Genomic DNA, 12,607 nt, shown 5'->3' with positions numbered 1-12,607 from the left:
GTAACACCTTTCCATTCTTTCTCTCCCTTCCCTCCCTTTCTCCCATTTCTTTTTTCACATATGGAAAGTCAGTTAATTATATGGTAGGAATGTAATACTTAACCATTTATGTTTGCTTGCCCCAGGCAACTCTAACATCAGAAGTTTAAGCTACTAATTAACAGATAAAAATCTCAGCTTTATAGTCATAAAGAAAAAGGAAATGAGAAGAAAAGAGGTCAAGGGAAAAATTTAAGTAAATATATTGAATGTCAATCACAGTCAGATATAACACAAAAGAAAAGTACTTTTAATTCAGTGTATTTTTAATCTCACTGAATGTATAATACATAGCATTATATCTTGTGTTACATTTCCTGTCCCTTTAAGAAATCCTAATTATTAAAATTCTTAAGTATAAAAATTTTCTCAAAGGAATAGAAAAACCTTAATTTCTTTTTAAAATGTCATTTGACCAGGCTATTTCAAAAGTTAGCTGCCTTATCTACATCTTCCTTTTTCATGTTTTCAAAAGAGAAAATTTATCTAATTACAGATTGAAAGAAAAAAATGTTATTGTTGTGATGTCCATATAATGTAATGAACCTGCCACGTATATTTCTCTATATGTTCCTTTTTGCCTCTATTTAAAAATGAGTTGATCCTGCTTCGAGCCAGGTCACTTATCACATAAAATAAATGAGGACAAGACTTAAGGCTGTGTATTCAAGGCCTGAAACAAAACTACAGTAGCAGCCTCAGGGTACAAGATCTTGAGTTACTTTCCAAAGGAACAATGTCTTCATTGCATATTACATACAAGTGTTGCATGAGACATCATCTGTGATAGGTTATTTGGGAAAGTGTCTTTGCCACCCAAAATATCCATCTAACATGCTAGCTAGACTCTCAGATTTTTTTCATTTAGAAATTCAGTTTGAAGTGATACAATTAAAAGAGAGTTCACTGTTTAAATGAGCCCAGAAGAAGTAACAGGTAATGCATACATACAAAAAATGAGTGTATATATAAAAAATGAGTGTCTGCCCACCAGCAGCACATCCTTTCCTCAAGGCTCATTTCGTAGCAGGTCCTAGAGTCTGAAATAATATGGGAAGAGGGAGAACATGCCAGAAAAACATATTTGCCTATTTGGTATTTTTCCTCGAATGGCTATAACCTCTTACATACTTAAGAATTTAAGCCTGCAGCAAAGCTTCCAGGCTTCAGGCATGCGCTAGGTGAAGAAAGGACTACAGAAAAAAGCCAGCTTCTGTCTAAAAGCTGAGTGACAGGGGGAAGAATTGGGAGGTGCCAAAGTCATGTGACAGCTCTTTGTGGAGGGCAGGTATGAGGAGAAAGGTAACAGCATCAGACCACATACTATCTGAGGTATGAGTGCTGTTAGCCTCAGATCCTGGCTTTAAATTAATGTAATTAAATTCCTTAGGGCACTGTCCTTAGAATAACAATATATCACAACCTTTGAAAGAAGGAATGCATATAGACCAGGAAGAGAGAAGCAGATCTAAATATCATACTAAAGAAGAAGAAGTATTAACACCAATTTCATGACTGTTCATGTTATTCCATATAAAACCAGTTTCCATACAATTTTTTTAAATCAGGCTCAAGTTGTCTCCATGAAGATGAGCAACAGTTTATGCCAACGATGTAGGTATTTTACAGATGTGTATGAGTTTCAAAAGATGTTCAGCCTCCAAATGGTAAAACATTATGTGCGCTAGTAAAATATGCCACTTTAATCAACAATAGTGAAATGATGAATTTTTTATATATAAATTATATAATAAGGAAATTAAGTTGCTTATCTCGTTTGTGATGTTTCCATAAAATTGAAACTTTTCTAAGTCTATCTCTCTTGCATACACATAAACATCATGCACACATATTTCCTTTTTCATCTTGAATTTCTTCTAAATATGCAGACTTCACAGGCCTGGTCTTGATGCCAAAATGAACCCCTTTCATTTGCTGATTGAGATCTGGCTCAACAGCCAATGTTTCCCGCTGGGTCCTTACAGAGGGTGCATTCACATTTTATCCTAATTTATTCATTATCAAACATCAAACCTTAGGAGGATAAAACAAAAAGCTAGTGAACAATGCAGGGAGAATGTGTTGGTTTGTTTTCATCTTCACTCTCAGATGAAAGAATTCTTCAGTAGCATTGCCTATTCTACCAATACATCATCCAGGTAATTGGGGGGCTTGAGGGGGGAATGACAGGCTGGGCCAAATCAACCTTCTGCATCCACTGGCACACACAATAACCTCCAACATCAAAAGTATCTAATGAGAACTTGAGAATCCAGGGCTTTATATTAGTTGACCCAATCTTGTAATTAAGTATCAAAACTCCCCATGCTTTTTGTGAACATTTACAAGCTGCATGGCAAGATCTCAACATATACAAAACAAAAGACCTTAGTCATACTTTCCTTCTAGGAGGAAAGCTTTAATGACAGCTCTGCACAAACACCAGATTTCTGTATCAAAGACCCCAGTTTCTATGTTGGTTTTGCTGCTTTGAGGTTGAATAATGAATAAGCCACATATTTTCATTTGTTAGAAGAAATATTACCTTCCTTTGGGGTGTTTAAGAAGGTGGATAAAATCGTAACATGAAAGTTGCTTTGTAAAATGTGAAGTATCTTACAAATGTTCAGTCTGTGTATTATTATGACAAATGGTGATACTATTGCTTATACTTATCAGATAAAGCAGCAAAGGCAGTAACATTTTCTATCATAATTGGCCCCACATAGAAACGGTTGCAAACTTGTCATTATTTGACAGTACTGTGGTGATACAGTTTGGCTTTGTGCCCCTACCCAAATCTCATCTCTAATTGTAATCCCCAGGTGTTGAGGGAGGGACGTGGTGGGAGGTGTTTGGATCATGGGTGGGGTGGGGGAGGTCGGCGTCAGTTTCCCCCATGCCCTTCTCATGATAGTAAGTTCTCACAAGGTATGACAAGGTATGACGGTTTTGTAAGGGGCTCTTCCCCCTTTGCTTGGTTCACATGTTCTCTTACCTGCTGGCATGTAAGACGTGCCTGCTTCCCCTTCTGCCATGATTGCAAACTTCCTGAGGCCTCCCTAGCCATGTGGAACTGTGAGTCAAACCTCTTTTCTTTATAAATTACCCAGTCTCAAGCAGTTCTTTATAGCAGTGTGAGAACAGACTAATACACTTGGTAGAGCAAATATGTAGATTTTCTGCCCTACTTAAAATTCCAACATTAGACATTCTCTGGTTTAAGACACTGAATAATGTCAAAGGTACCATGACACTATGAAGAAGAGATAAACAAACGAATGTTGTCATCTCTTCTGATTCACCTTGATAAGAATTAACAGACAACTCTCACAGAGAGGCACTGTTTTTTGCCCATAGTGGTTGTGAATTTACCTTCTCCTCTTTGCAGTGATAAAGGAGGTAAATTCACAACCACTGTGGGCAGAAACCAGGTGAATCTTCAGAACCTTGCTGGATAGAGGTTTGCTGCGTTGTCTCACCAGTGTTGACCCCAGTTTTAGGCAACAACATTGCTGTTCCTGTTCCTGTCTAATCAGCTAACTGCAGACACAGCATTGAGGTTCTTGAAGCTAATCTTGTGTCATATTTTTGGCTTTCTTGACCTTTTGCTTTAATAATGCGTGTTTTACTGCAAAGGCAGCTCAACAATGGCCTGGCCGTCAAATCATTCAGTGGATTCCCCATTCTCCTCTACCACCTACTGGTATCTGGGATTCTTGAACATTGGAACAGGTTTTAAATATCAACTCAAAAAGATTTCTGACTCTACCTCTCTCACTTTCTACTGATCCTCATAGTTTCATAAAGCAGTTTGTTTACTTAATGTGGCTGTTTACAAAAAGGGATAATCTCCTCTGGCCACTTCCTGGCTAAAAAAAAAATCAGGAAGAAATGAGGGTTTTATTAATTTATTTGGGATGTTCAAGATTCTGATCTATTTCTGGATATGATGATTTTCTCTTTCCCCTAACAGCAACCCCAGACCCAGTTGGTTGGTACAATCTCCAGATGGTAGTCTGGCCAAAAGAGTACCTAAGGAATTTAAATTTAATTCTGGTTTGGTTACCTGGCTTCTCATGTTGGACTGACATGCTTCTAGATGATAAGTACAATGACAACTTAGTTGAGACTGCTGCACACCAAGTGGCTACATGTGGCTGATTTGTGACAAAATGGGATAATACGGTTATCTATTTTATAGAAGTGCCTCTGTTTCTCTATACCTGTTCCTTCTGGACAAAAGATCTGTTTGTGGTGATATCTGGAAAATAGGTGAAGTTACAGCAACTAGAATTGGACACTCTGATTTTGTGACAGTAGAGGGATAATAACAACTTTGGAACCTGGAGTTTACTCAAACTCCAGGAGTAAATAGGGAAGTAAGGATATGTAAGACAATACAATAATAATAAGGCAAAAAGATTTATGATAATATCTTGAGCCATGATAATGCATGGGAAATTTTTAAATGCTTATTTCTGTGAGTTAACTCTAAGAACACTCTGGAATGCAGTAGGTAACAATTTTAAAAAGCTAAGAAAATAAAAATTGAGACACTTGGATGACCCTGGGTCATAGCAGTACGTTAGAGCTACTGCTAACCATCGTGGCTTTACATATGGGACAGGTACTCTGCAACATACTTGGAGAAGTCAATTCAAAAATATAGAAAAACAGGGAAGAGATTTCTTACCACACATACAGTTCTTTGCTCTTTTAATTTTGTTGACAAACTCTAAAATATTTAAAGAGGCTTATTCTGAGCCAATATGAGTGATCTCAAGAGGTCCTGAGAAAGTGTGCCTGAGGCAGTTGGATTACAGTTTGATTCTATACATTTTAGGGAGATAGGAGTGATAGGCAAAGATATAAATCAATACATGTAAGATACGCATTGGTTTAGCCCAGAAAAGCAGGACATCTCAAAGTGGGGGCCTACAGGTTATACGTGGATTCAAAGATTTTCTCATCGGCAATTGGTTGACAGTTAAGCTTTGTCTAAAGACTTGAAGTCATAGAAAGAAATGCCTGAGCTAAGATAAGGGGGGTTGTGGAAGCTAAGATCTTTGTTATGTAGATGAAGCCTCTAGGTTGTAGGCTTTAGAGAGAAGAGAGAGCCTTTAGAGATAATAGATGGCAAATGTCTATTTTCACACCTTAAAAGGTATCACACTCTTATTTTTTATTTATTTATTTTTGAGACTGAGTCTTGCACTGTCGCCTGGGCTGGAGTGCAGTGGCGCGATCTTGGCTCACTGCAATCTCCACCTCTCAGGTTCAAGCAATCTCCTGCCTCAGCCTCCCAAGTAGCTGGGATTACAGGTACCTGCCACCACACTTAGCTAATTTTTTGTATTTTTTGTAAAGACAGGGTTTCACCATGTTGGTCAGGCTGGTCTCGAACTCCTGACCTGGTGATTCCCCCACCTCAGTCTCCCAAAGTGCTGAGATAAGCCCCTTTCCCCCGCCGGTATCACACTCTTAATCTCTCCTAGATCCATGACAGGTCTGGCTACATGAATGGTAATTCTGTACAGATAAAAATTTCTCCCAGGGCCATTTCAAAATATGTCAAAGAAATATTTTGGGGTAAAATATTTCAAATTTATTCAGAGTATGCTATTTGTCACATGAAGCTATACCAGCATCAAGCTCGAGTTTGTTCGGTCAGTCGTACGGTTTTTTTGTTGTTGTTTTTTTGAGATGGAGTCTCGCTCTGACACCCAGGCTAGAGTGCAGTGGCGTGATCTCGGCTCATGCAAGCTCCGCCTCCCGGGTTCACGCCATTCTCCTGCCTCAGCCCTCCGAGTAGCTGGGACTACAGGCACCTGCCACCACGCCCGGCTAATTTTTTGAGTTTTTAGTTAAGACGGGGTTTCACCGTGTTATCCAGGATCTCCTGACCTCGTGATCCGCCAGCCTCGGCCTCTCAAAATGCTGGGATTACGGGCATGAGCCACTGCGCCCAGCCGACCTCTGTTTTAATGTTAATGTTGGTCAATTTTGTACTAACTCCAAAGGAATGGGATATAATGAGGCATGTCTGATGTCCCTTCTAGTCATGGGTAGGAATTCAGTTTTTCAGGTTTCTCTGAGGTTCCCTTGGCACAGAGCGAGTCTGTTCAGCCACCTGGGGAGACTTAGGGTTTCATTTTTGGCTTATAATTCTTTTAGCCCTCTGGAATTAGCTTATGTTAAACAGATGTCAGCTTTAAGAGGAAATCAATTTAATATTCATTTAGAGATTAAGTTGATTTTCTTTTTTAATGTGGATAAAAGAAGGTAATGATCCTTTGGCCTTAAAAAGAGGAAGGAGTTCTGGACAATTGAAGAATTCCCTATAGTTGACTAAAAAGTCATAAAAATACATCTTAGTTTTTTTTTCTTCTGTGTTTTAAAAATTTAGAGCAGTATAGATCCTTATATAGACATGTTTGTATTTCTGTGCATTCACACATATATGCATATATGTACGTACACAAATATACCCCCATTTACTTTAAATTATTGACTGAAATAATGATATTTTAATATATTTTATTTTAAACATACTTCAACAACTAGAAATTTCGTACTTTATTTCCATGTTTAAGATTAACCAGAAATTTAATGATATGTATTTTAAATATGTCACACTGGAAAAATATAGCCATGTAATTACTATATAAGACCAGAATGTGCTAAAATAGTGGATTTAAAATTGTTTTTATGTTTAAAAAGCAGTTTGAAAACAACTGTTACAGAGTATAGTGTATAGGATCATTGCTACCTTTTAGGTCTTCATCTTATTTCACGAATTAGCCTGTCCATAATTTTTGTCTGAAAACATTATAGTATGATATCCTTGTATTATCTCTTAATACACGATGTACCACCAGTTCGTTTTACTTGTTTCCTTCCCTCTTCTCTTCCCTCTTTCTTCTAAGAGTTAGCAAAGCTCTTCCTATGCCATTGAGAAATACTTTTTCTTATACAAATCACAAAATATTCCTTATAAAAATGATTCCATAGTTAATGCAGAATGTCAATCCAGGCACTATAAAGACCAAAAGATTAAATAACTTTCAAATATTTATAGAGGAAATGCTTTAAGAATTTTATAGGATTTTACTTCTTTTTCTTGGGACCACAGGTTGATTCTTAACCTATTGCTTTTCAATTAATTTTCTCTACTTTTAGACATTCAACAGGTATAGAACTTTTGGTTCAATGGTTGTAAACAGCTGTAAATATAACAGAAGTGTATAAGCTAGACATCAGTGGCATACGTACAAAAATAAGAAAATAGGAAAGCAAAATTTACTGAGTTGGGAGCATCTAAAAAAAAATCAGTCTCTTTGCTGGAGACTTCCAGGTTTAACATCATTTTATTTCCTGAAAAAATACTTTTAATAAGAATGAGCTTTTAGATAGAATAGCTTCCCATACAGTTCTAAATAAAGTTTTGGATATTTGTGAATATACCGGGTCTTACTTAAAATCATTACAAAAATTCATGCCACAAAATCTGCCCACTGATGGTTAAGTACTTTAGCATGACTCACATTATATCACCACTGTTCCTTTGGGAAGAAATGCTTAAACTTTGGCAAAATATCCAAAGCATTTAAATATTTATAATACGAGGGTCAAGCTGTGCCCCATATCTGATGAAAAACTTCAATGGAGTGTTAAGTTACTACTCAATTTTCAGCTACTCATTCAGATCACGTTTCCGTTACTTTCTGTTACTGTTGAAATTGATGAACGATTCTATGCAAAGGAAGCCTTTCTGAAGAACTCTGGAGGTTTTCACGTCTTTCCCTTCTGTTTCTTCATTAAGGTAGTTTCTTCTGAAACCTAATGAAGCAAGCACATTTAGGAGAAAAAAAAGACTAAATTACTTAAGCCTAACACTTTCACTCGAGGATCCAGAGTATAGTTCTCTTTCTTAAAAAATGGCTGATATAAAAACTGAGCTTCATCTGGAATTACAGGACACTTCTTCACAATAGGATAAAAAAAGACTGGATGCAATGAAAGTGTAACATTCTCATACTTGCCATACTGCCTTTTAAGAAAGAAAATTCTGTGACAAAATCAAAACCCCAGGACTCAGGAGTTCAGAGTTCCTATTACTGGTTTAAAGGAGTCTTTAAAAATATTAATATTTATTCAAGGAATCTTAGTTTACCAGCACAGTGATCATATATCTTTCTGTACACATGGATAGCATCATGAAATTATAAAACTTAGATTATACAAATGCTTTTTCTTACACATAATACTCTTAAAACAACTAAATTTAAGAATTCTAAAGAAGTTTTAGGAAAATTCCTTCTTTGAATTTAAAATATTACATTGCATGAAAATAACCACAACACTATGGAAAATAATAATTTACTTTTTCTCTTCCCCAACTCTGAACATGATTCTCTACTGTAAACTTTTATTATAAGTTTATTGAAAAGTTATAGTGTGTAGTTCCACAGATTTTGATTTATATATAAATAAATGGCTTTATCCCATACCAAAATAACATTCACGAGCTTTCACATTGCTCACCAATGGCCTATGCTTTCCTAAATTCAATGTATATTTTCAGTACCATTTCACATGGCTTTTTTCAATAGCATGGACCTTTGCTGAAATTTATTTATTTGAAATATCTTCATCTTCCATTACCTGGATTATTTTTGCCTATAACATTAACCCACTCCTCCCCCAATGTTATCTATTCCCAGATAGAGGATCACATTCTCAAAACCTGTCATTCGTTTCTTTAAAAAACCTATTAAAGTGATAAGCTTACATTTGTTAATGAAGTTATTTGATTAGGAATCCTTCACCACAGCAGCATAGAGGAGGAAAATGTATATATGCTTTGAGCTAAGTTGTCTTCTTAGCAAGTGGCAGGGTATCTTCCCTGAATTTAGCAAGAATTTAATGCATCTTCATTATGTGAATAAATGAATGAGTAAAAATCTCTTTAACAGAAATCAGAGGACATGGATAATACTATTCGGAACCTTGTACTATTCTCTTCATTACACATTTTGAAGATATTTTTAAACTTACTAGCAGCTTGTTTGAAACATCTTATCTTTCCCTAAGAGCTTCACTTTGAGGGCTAGATATTGCTGGTTTGTATTTAATCTATTGCTTGAGGGTGGGCATGAGGACATTCACTTTGGGCTAGGATAGGTGCCAACTTAAAGAGACTCTTTCTGGTAATTGTAACCATTTGGGCTTCAACAAAGAGTAATGATAGTAAATCATTACAATATAGCTTATGAAAATGGTTGGGTTCATGACGATAGTCAATGAAAAAAGAATCATCTCTATTAAACAAAACTATTAAATCAACTTTCCTTTGAAATTTGGTAATTTAAGAGAAGGAATAAAGAATTTATTCTTCATTTAAATAGCAACTATATTTTAGGGTACTAAGTAGCTTTGTTTAATAAGAGAAAGCTAGATAATTCTATAACATAAGTAGGAGGAATAATCAATTTTTACAAATCCTGATGACTACAGATTGTAGTAACAATTATCAATTGGTGTTGAAACCGTAAGATGAAAAGTTTGACAGAAACTGGATATTTGTGTAGCACCAATGTCATAACACAGAAATCTATTTTTTTTTTTACTTGCATGAGGAAAAACTTGACTATACAATAGTCCTTAAGATAAAGAAGCAGTAAATTAAATTCATGGTGGTGTTTCTGTCTCTTGTTTTGGACATTTTGAGACTATTAGAAAAACTTGAATAAGGGATGATAATATATTAAAAATTATTTTAAGTGAGATGAAAATATTTTGGCTATATAGGAAAATATATATATATTTTTAGGAGACGGGGGTCTTCTGTCACCCAGGCTGGAGTAGGCGGCACAATTGTCTCACTGAAGCTTTGAACTCCTGGGCTTAAGCTGGAGGCTGCTCTGTCAGCCTCCTGGAAAATACTCTTATTTTTAAAAAATGCATACAACAGTTAAACAAGAAGAAAAGCAAAATAAAGGTATTTTCTGATATACTTAAATTGAAGTTTATTACTAGCAGATCATAATATAAAGCAGAAAGAAAAATGACCCCCAAAGAACTGTACGAGGCACAAAGAGTGAAGAATGGAGATAGAGAAAAGCTACAAATCAAACTTGACTTATAAAGTAATAAGAGTAATGGCTAGACTGGTTAAAGAGATGAAAGTCAGAAATCAAATAAACAATAGTAAATTGGAAATTTTAGTTAGAATGAAGGATGAAAGGAATTATGGGGCTCTAAAGCCTTGTTTCTTAAACTCTATTCCACGGAGCAGGAGAGTCAGATTCGCCTGTGAGGTAACTAGAATTCAGTCTCTCAGGTCTACCCCAGACCTACTAAATCAGAGTCAGAAGTCTAACAAATTCTTTCAGCGTTTTGTATGGATATTAAATTTGAGAATCATTGGTCTAAACTCTGGAAGAGGATAGAGATATTCCTAATATATACTTAAACAATGCTTGTAGAAATTATTAATGTAGTCACTTTATGAATAAAATATATCTTAATTTTCAAAATAGAGGGAGGAAAATGAAAATAATAATTTAAAAGCCAAGGAATGTATGAAAAAATATAGATTAGCAAGATGAATAGAAAACAAAAACCATGATAGACAATATATACTCAAATATATGAGCGTAAGCCATAGGTCTTTACAAATTCTTTTCATCCCTCCGAGTTTGGAGAGGCACTTATGGCTCATAACTGAATGGTGAGAGTTAGAGTTTTTCTCAGAATTGTGTCCATTCACTTTATCCCTGTATTCCTACCTGCTGATTTGAGGAAGACAGAAATCTCAGAGTAAAGGTCATGGTTGATTTCTGAATTCTTTAGTCTCCTCTTCTTGCAGTACACTATGGACTGATGATGAACCTCCTCCTTCACTCAATAGCTGCTTTGTTTGGCATAGCTTTTAGTATTTACTCATTTGGGGTAAATTTGTAGATTTTGGAGGTAGTAGAGATTGGGGAAATTTTAAGCTTTCTTTCGTTTTACCCCAGAATTCCACATTTGGTTTTAGATAATAATTGTGTGTGTGGGTGTATATGTGTATACTTATTATACAACAATGGGGGGTAACATATATATATAGCGGCACATATATATGTTATCCATCATACATTTTATATACATATATAATATATGACATATATATATATATATATATAAGTTATTCATTGTTGCATAATAAATTACCCCAAAGTTTAGAAGCTTGAGAGAGAAAACATTTATCTCACAATTCCTCAGGGTCAAGGATCAGGGTACAGCTAAACTGGGTGGTTCTGGCTCAGGGTCTTGCATCAGATTTCTGTCAAGATGTTGGCCAGAAATGGGATCATCTCAAGGTTTGGAGCTTAAGGATCCACTTCCAAGCCCACTCTTCTGACTGTTGTCAGGCCTCAGTTCCTCATCACATGGGTCTCCTCACAGGGGAGCTAACAACATGGCAGATTATTTCTCCTGTGGTGAATGATGAGAGAGAAACAGACAGAAATAATCAAAACTCAGAAGGGACACATATTTCAGACATATTCTATTTGTTAGAAGTCACTAGGTCTAACACATACTCCAGGCTAGAGAAATTAAGTGTTCCTATTGAAGCCAGGAATATTAAAAAATGTATAGACAGTTTTAAAAGTAGCACAATGTATATAAAGGACTATGATGATGATGACTAGTATTCTGGGTTTTATTAACTGAGGATAAAATAAGATAATGCAGTTATTACAGTGTAAGAATTATAAATCCAAAGTGCCAGGTATGTTCCTTCAACAATTTTATCTTCTTATTACAAAAGAGATTCATGTTTATTATATTGAAAAGCACAAGAACATAGAAACAAGAACATGATATCTGTATTTTGACCATTATGGTATCTTTTCTACCACATATTTTTTATATGCATAATATGTGTTAGCAAGTGTCGCCCTCCCCCAATCCATACCTCTATTCTCAGTCTGTCTTCCCAGAGTCTTATAATTTTACATACTTTCACATCCATGGCTTCTAGTAAACATAAATCTAAAAGATATAAGAGTTAAATAAAAACAACAACACTTGATTAATCTCCAATGGCATTGCTTTTCTTGTTAAAGATGAATAAATATGAGCTGATGTGTAATTTTGGCTTTTTATACAGTAGGTTAAATGGCAGATTTTCTTATTTTTCATTCTAGTTTGGATTTAATTAAGACAAGCATGTCAAAGAAAGCCAGAAAAAACAACCAAAGATAGCACCTAATCATCATCTATCATAATTACGCTTACGACAGTGCTAATCTTCTGGAACACTTGGGGCCTGGCAGTGACTGAGCCTCACTGAGCCCTCTCAGTTGTACTTTGCCCATTGTTCTGACACTTCCCAGCATAAATCTCCAGAGAAGACATTTTTAGATACTTATTTTTTTCTTGGCACTTAGATGAATCCATTTCAAGGTTTGAAAGAAAAGTATTTTATAACAAATATTATCAGATCTGTAGATGTTAAGTAATAGTCATAGTAAAAATATATAGATTGCCCAACTTCTCAATATTGTTATCACAG

The 12,607-nt window shown here is 35.5% G+C and overlaps 1 long non-coding RNA gene and 1 other non-coding gene across 4 annotated transcripts in view, besides 1 other annotated feature; one reads left to right on the top strand and one right to left on the bottom strand.

Annotated features, from left to right (window-relative positions):
- Positions 1,441-2,429: an enhancer, noted in NCBI's record as "OCT4-NANOG hESC enhancer chr5:128733796-128734784 (GRCh37/hg19 assembly coordinates)". NCBI's record gives its function as "activates a minimal SCP1, AML or CMV promoter by ChIP-STARR-seq in primed H9 embryonic stem cells {active_cell/tissue: H9 hESC(primed)}" and the evidence as "EXISTENCE:reporter gene assay evidence [ECO:0000049][PMID:30033119]".
- MIR4460 (microRNA 4460) lies at positions 3,385-3,470 on the top strand. The gene has a single exon (NR_039665.1). It is a non-coding gene; the product is annotated as a microRNA 4460 (primary transcript).
- Positions 3,471-6,603: 3,133 nt separating this feature from the next.
- LOC102723654 (uncharacterized) overlaps positions 6,604-12,607 on the bottom strand; it is a 253,720-nt gene continuing 247,716 nt past the window's right edge. For all 3 annotated transcript variants that reach the window (XR_001742463.2, XR_001742465.2, XR_427770.4), the window contains 3 exons: positions 12,008-12,084; positions 11,301-11,523; positions 6,604-7,881 (listed from right to left, as the gene is read on the bottom strand). This is a non-coding gene — a long non-coding RNA (uncharacterized LOC102723654). The remainder of the gene's footprint in view (positions 7,882-11,300; positions 11,524-12,007; positions 12,085-12,607) is intronic.

This window comes from Homo sapiens, chromosome 5, assembly GCF_000001405.40.
Source record: "Homo sapiens chromosome 5, GRCh38.p14 Primary Assembly".
Lineage (NCBI taxonomy): Eukaryota > Metazoa > Chordata > Mammalia > Primates > Hominidae > Homo > Homo sapiens.
This window is presented reverse-complemented; position numbering and strand designations above follow the sequence as displayed.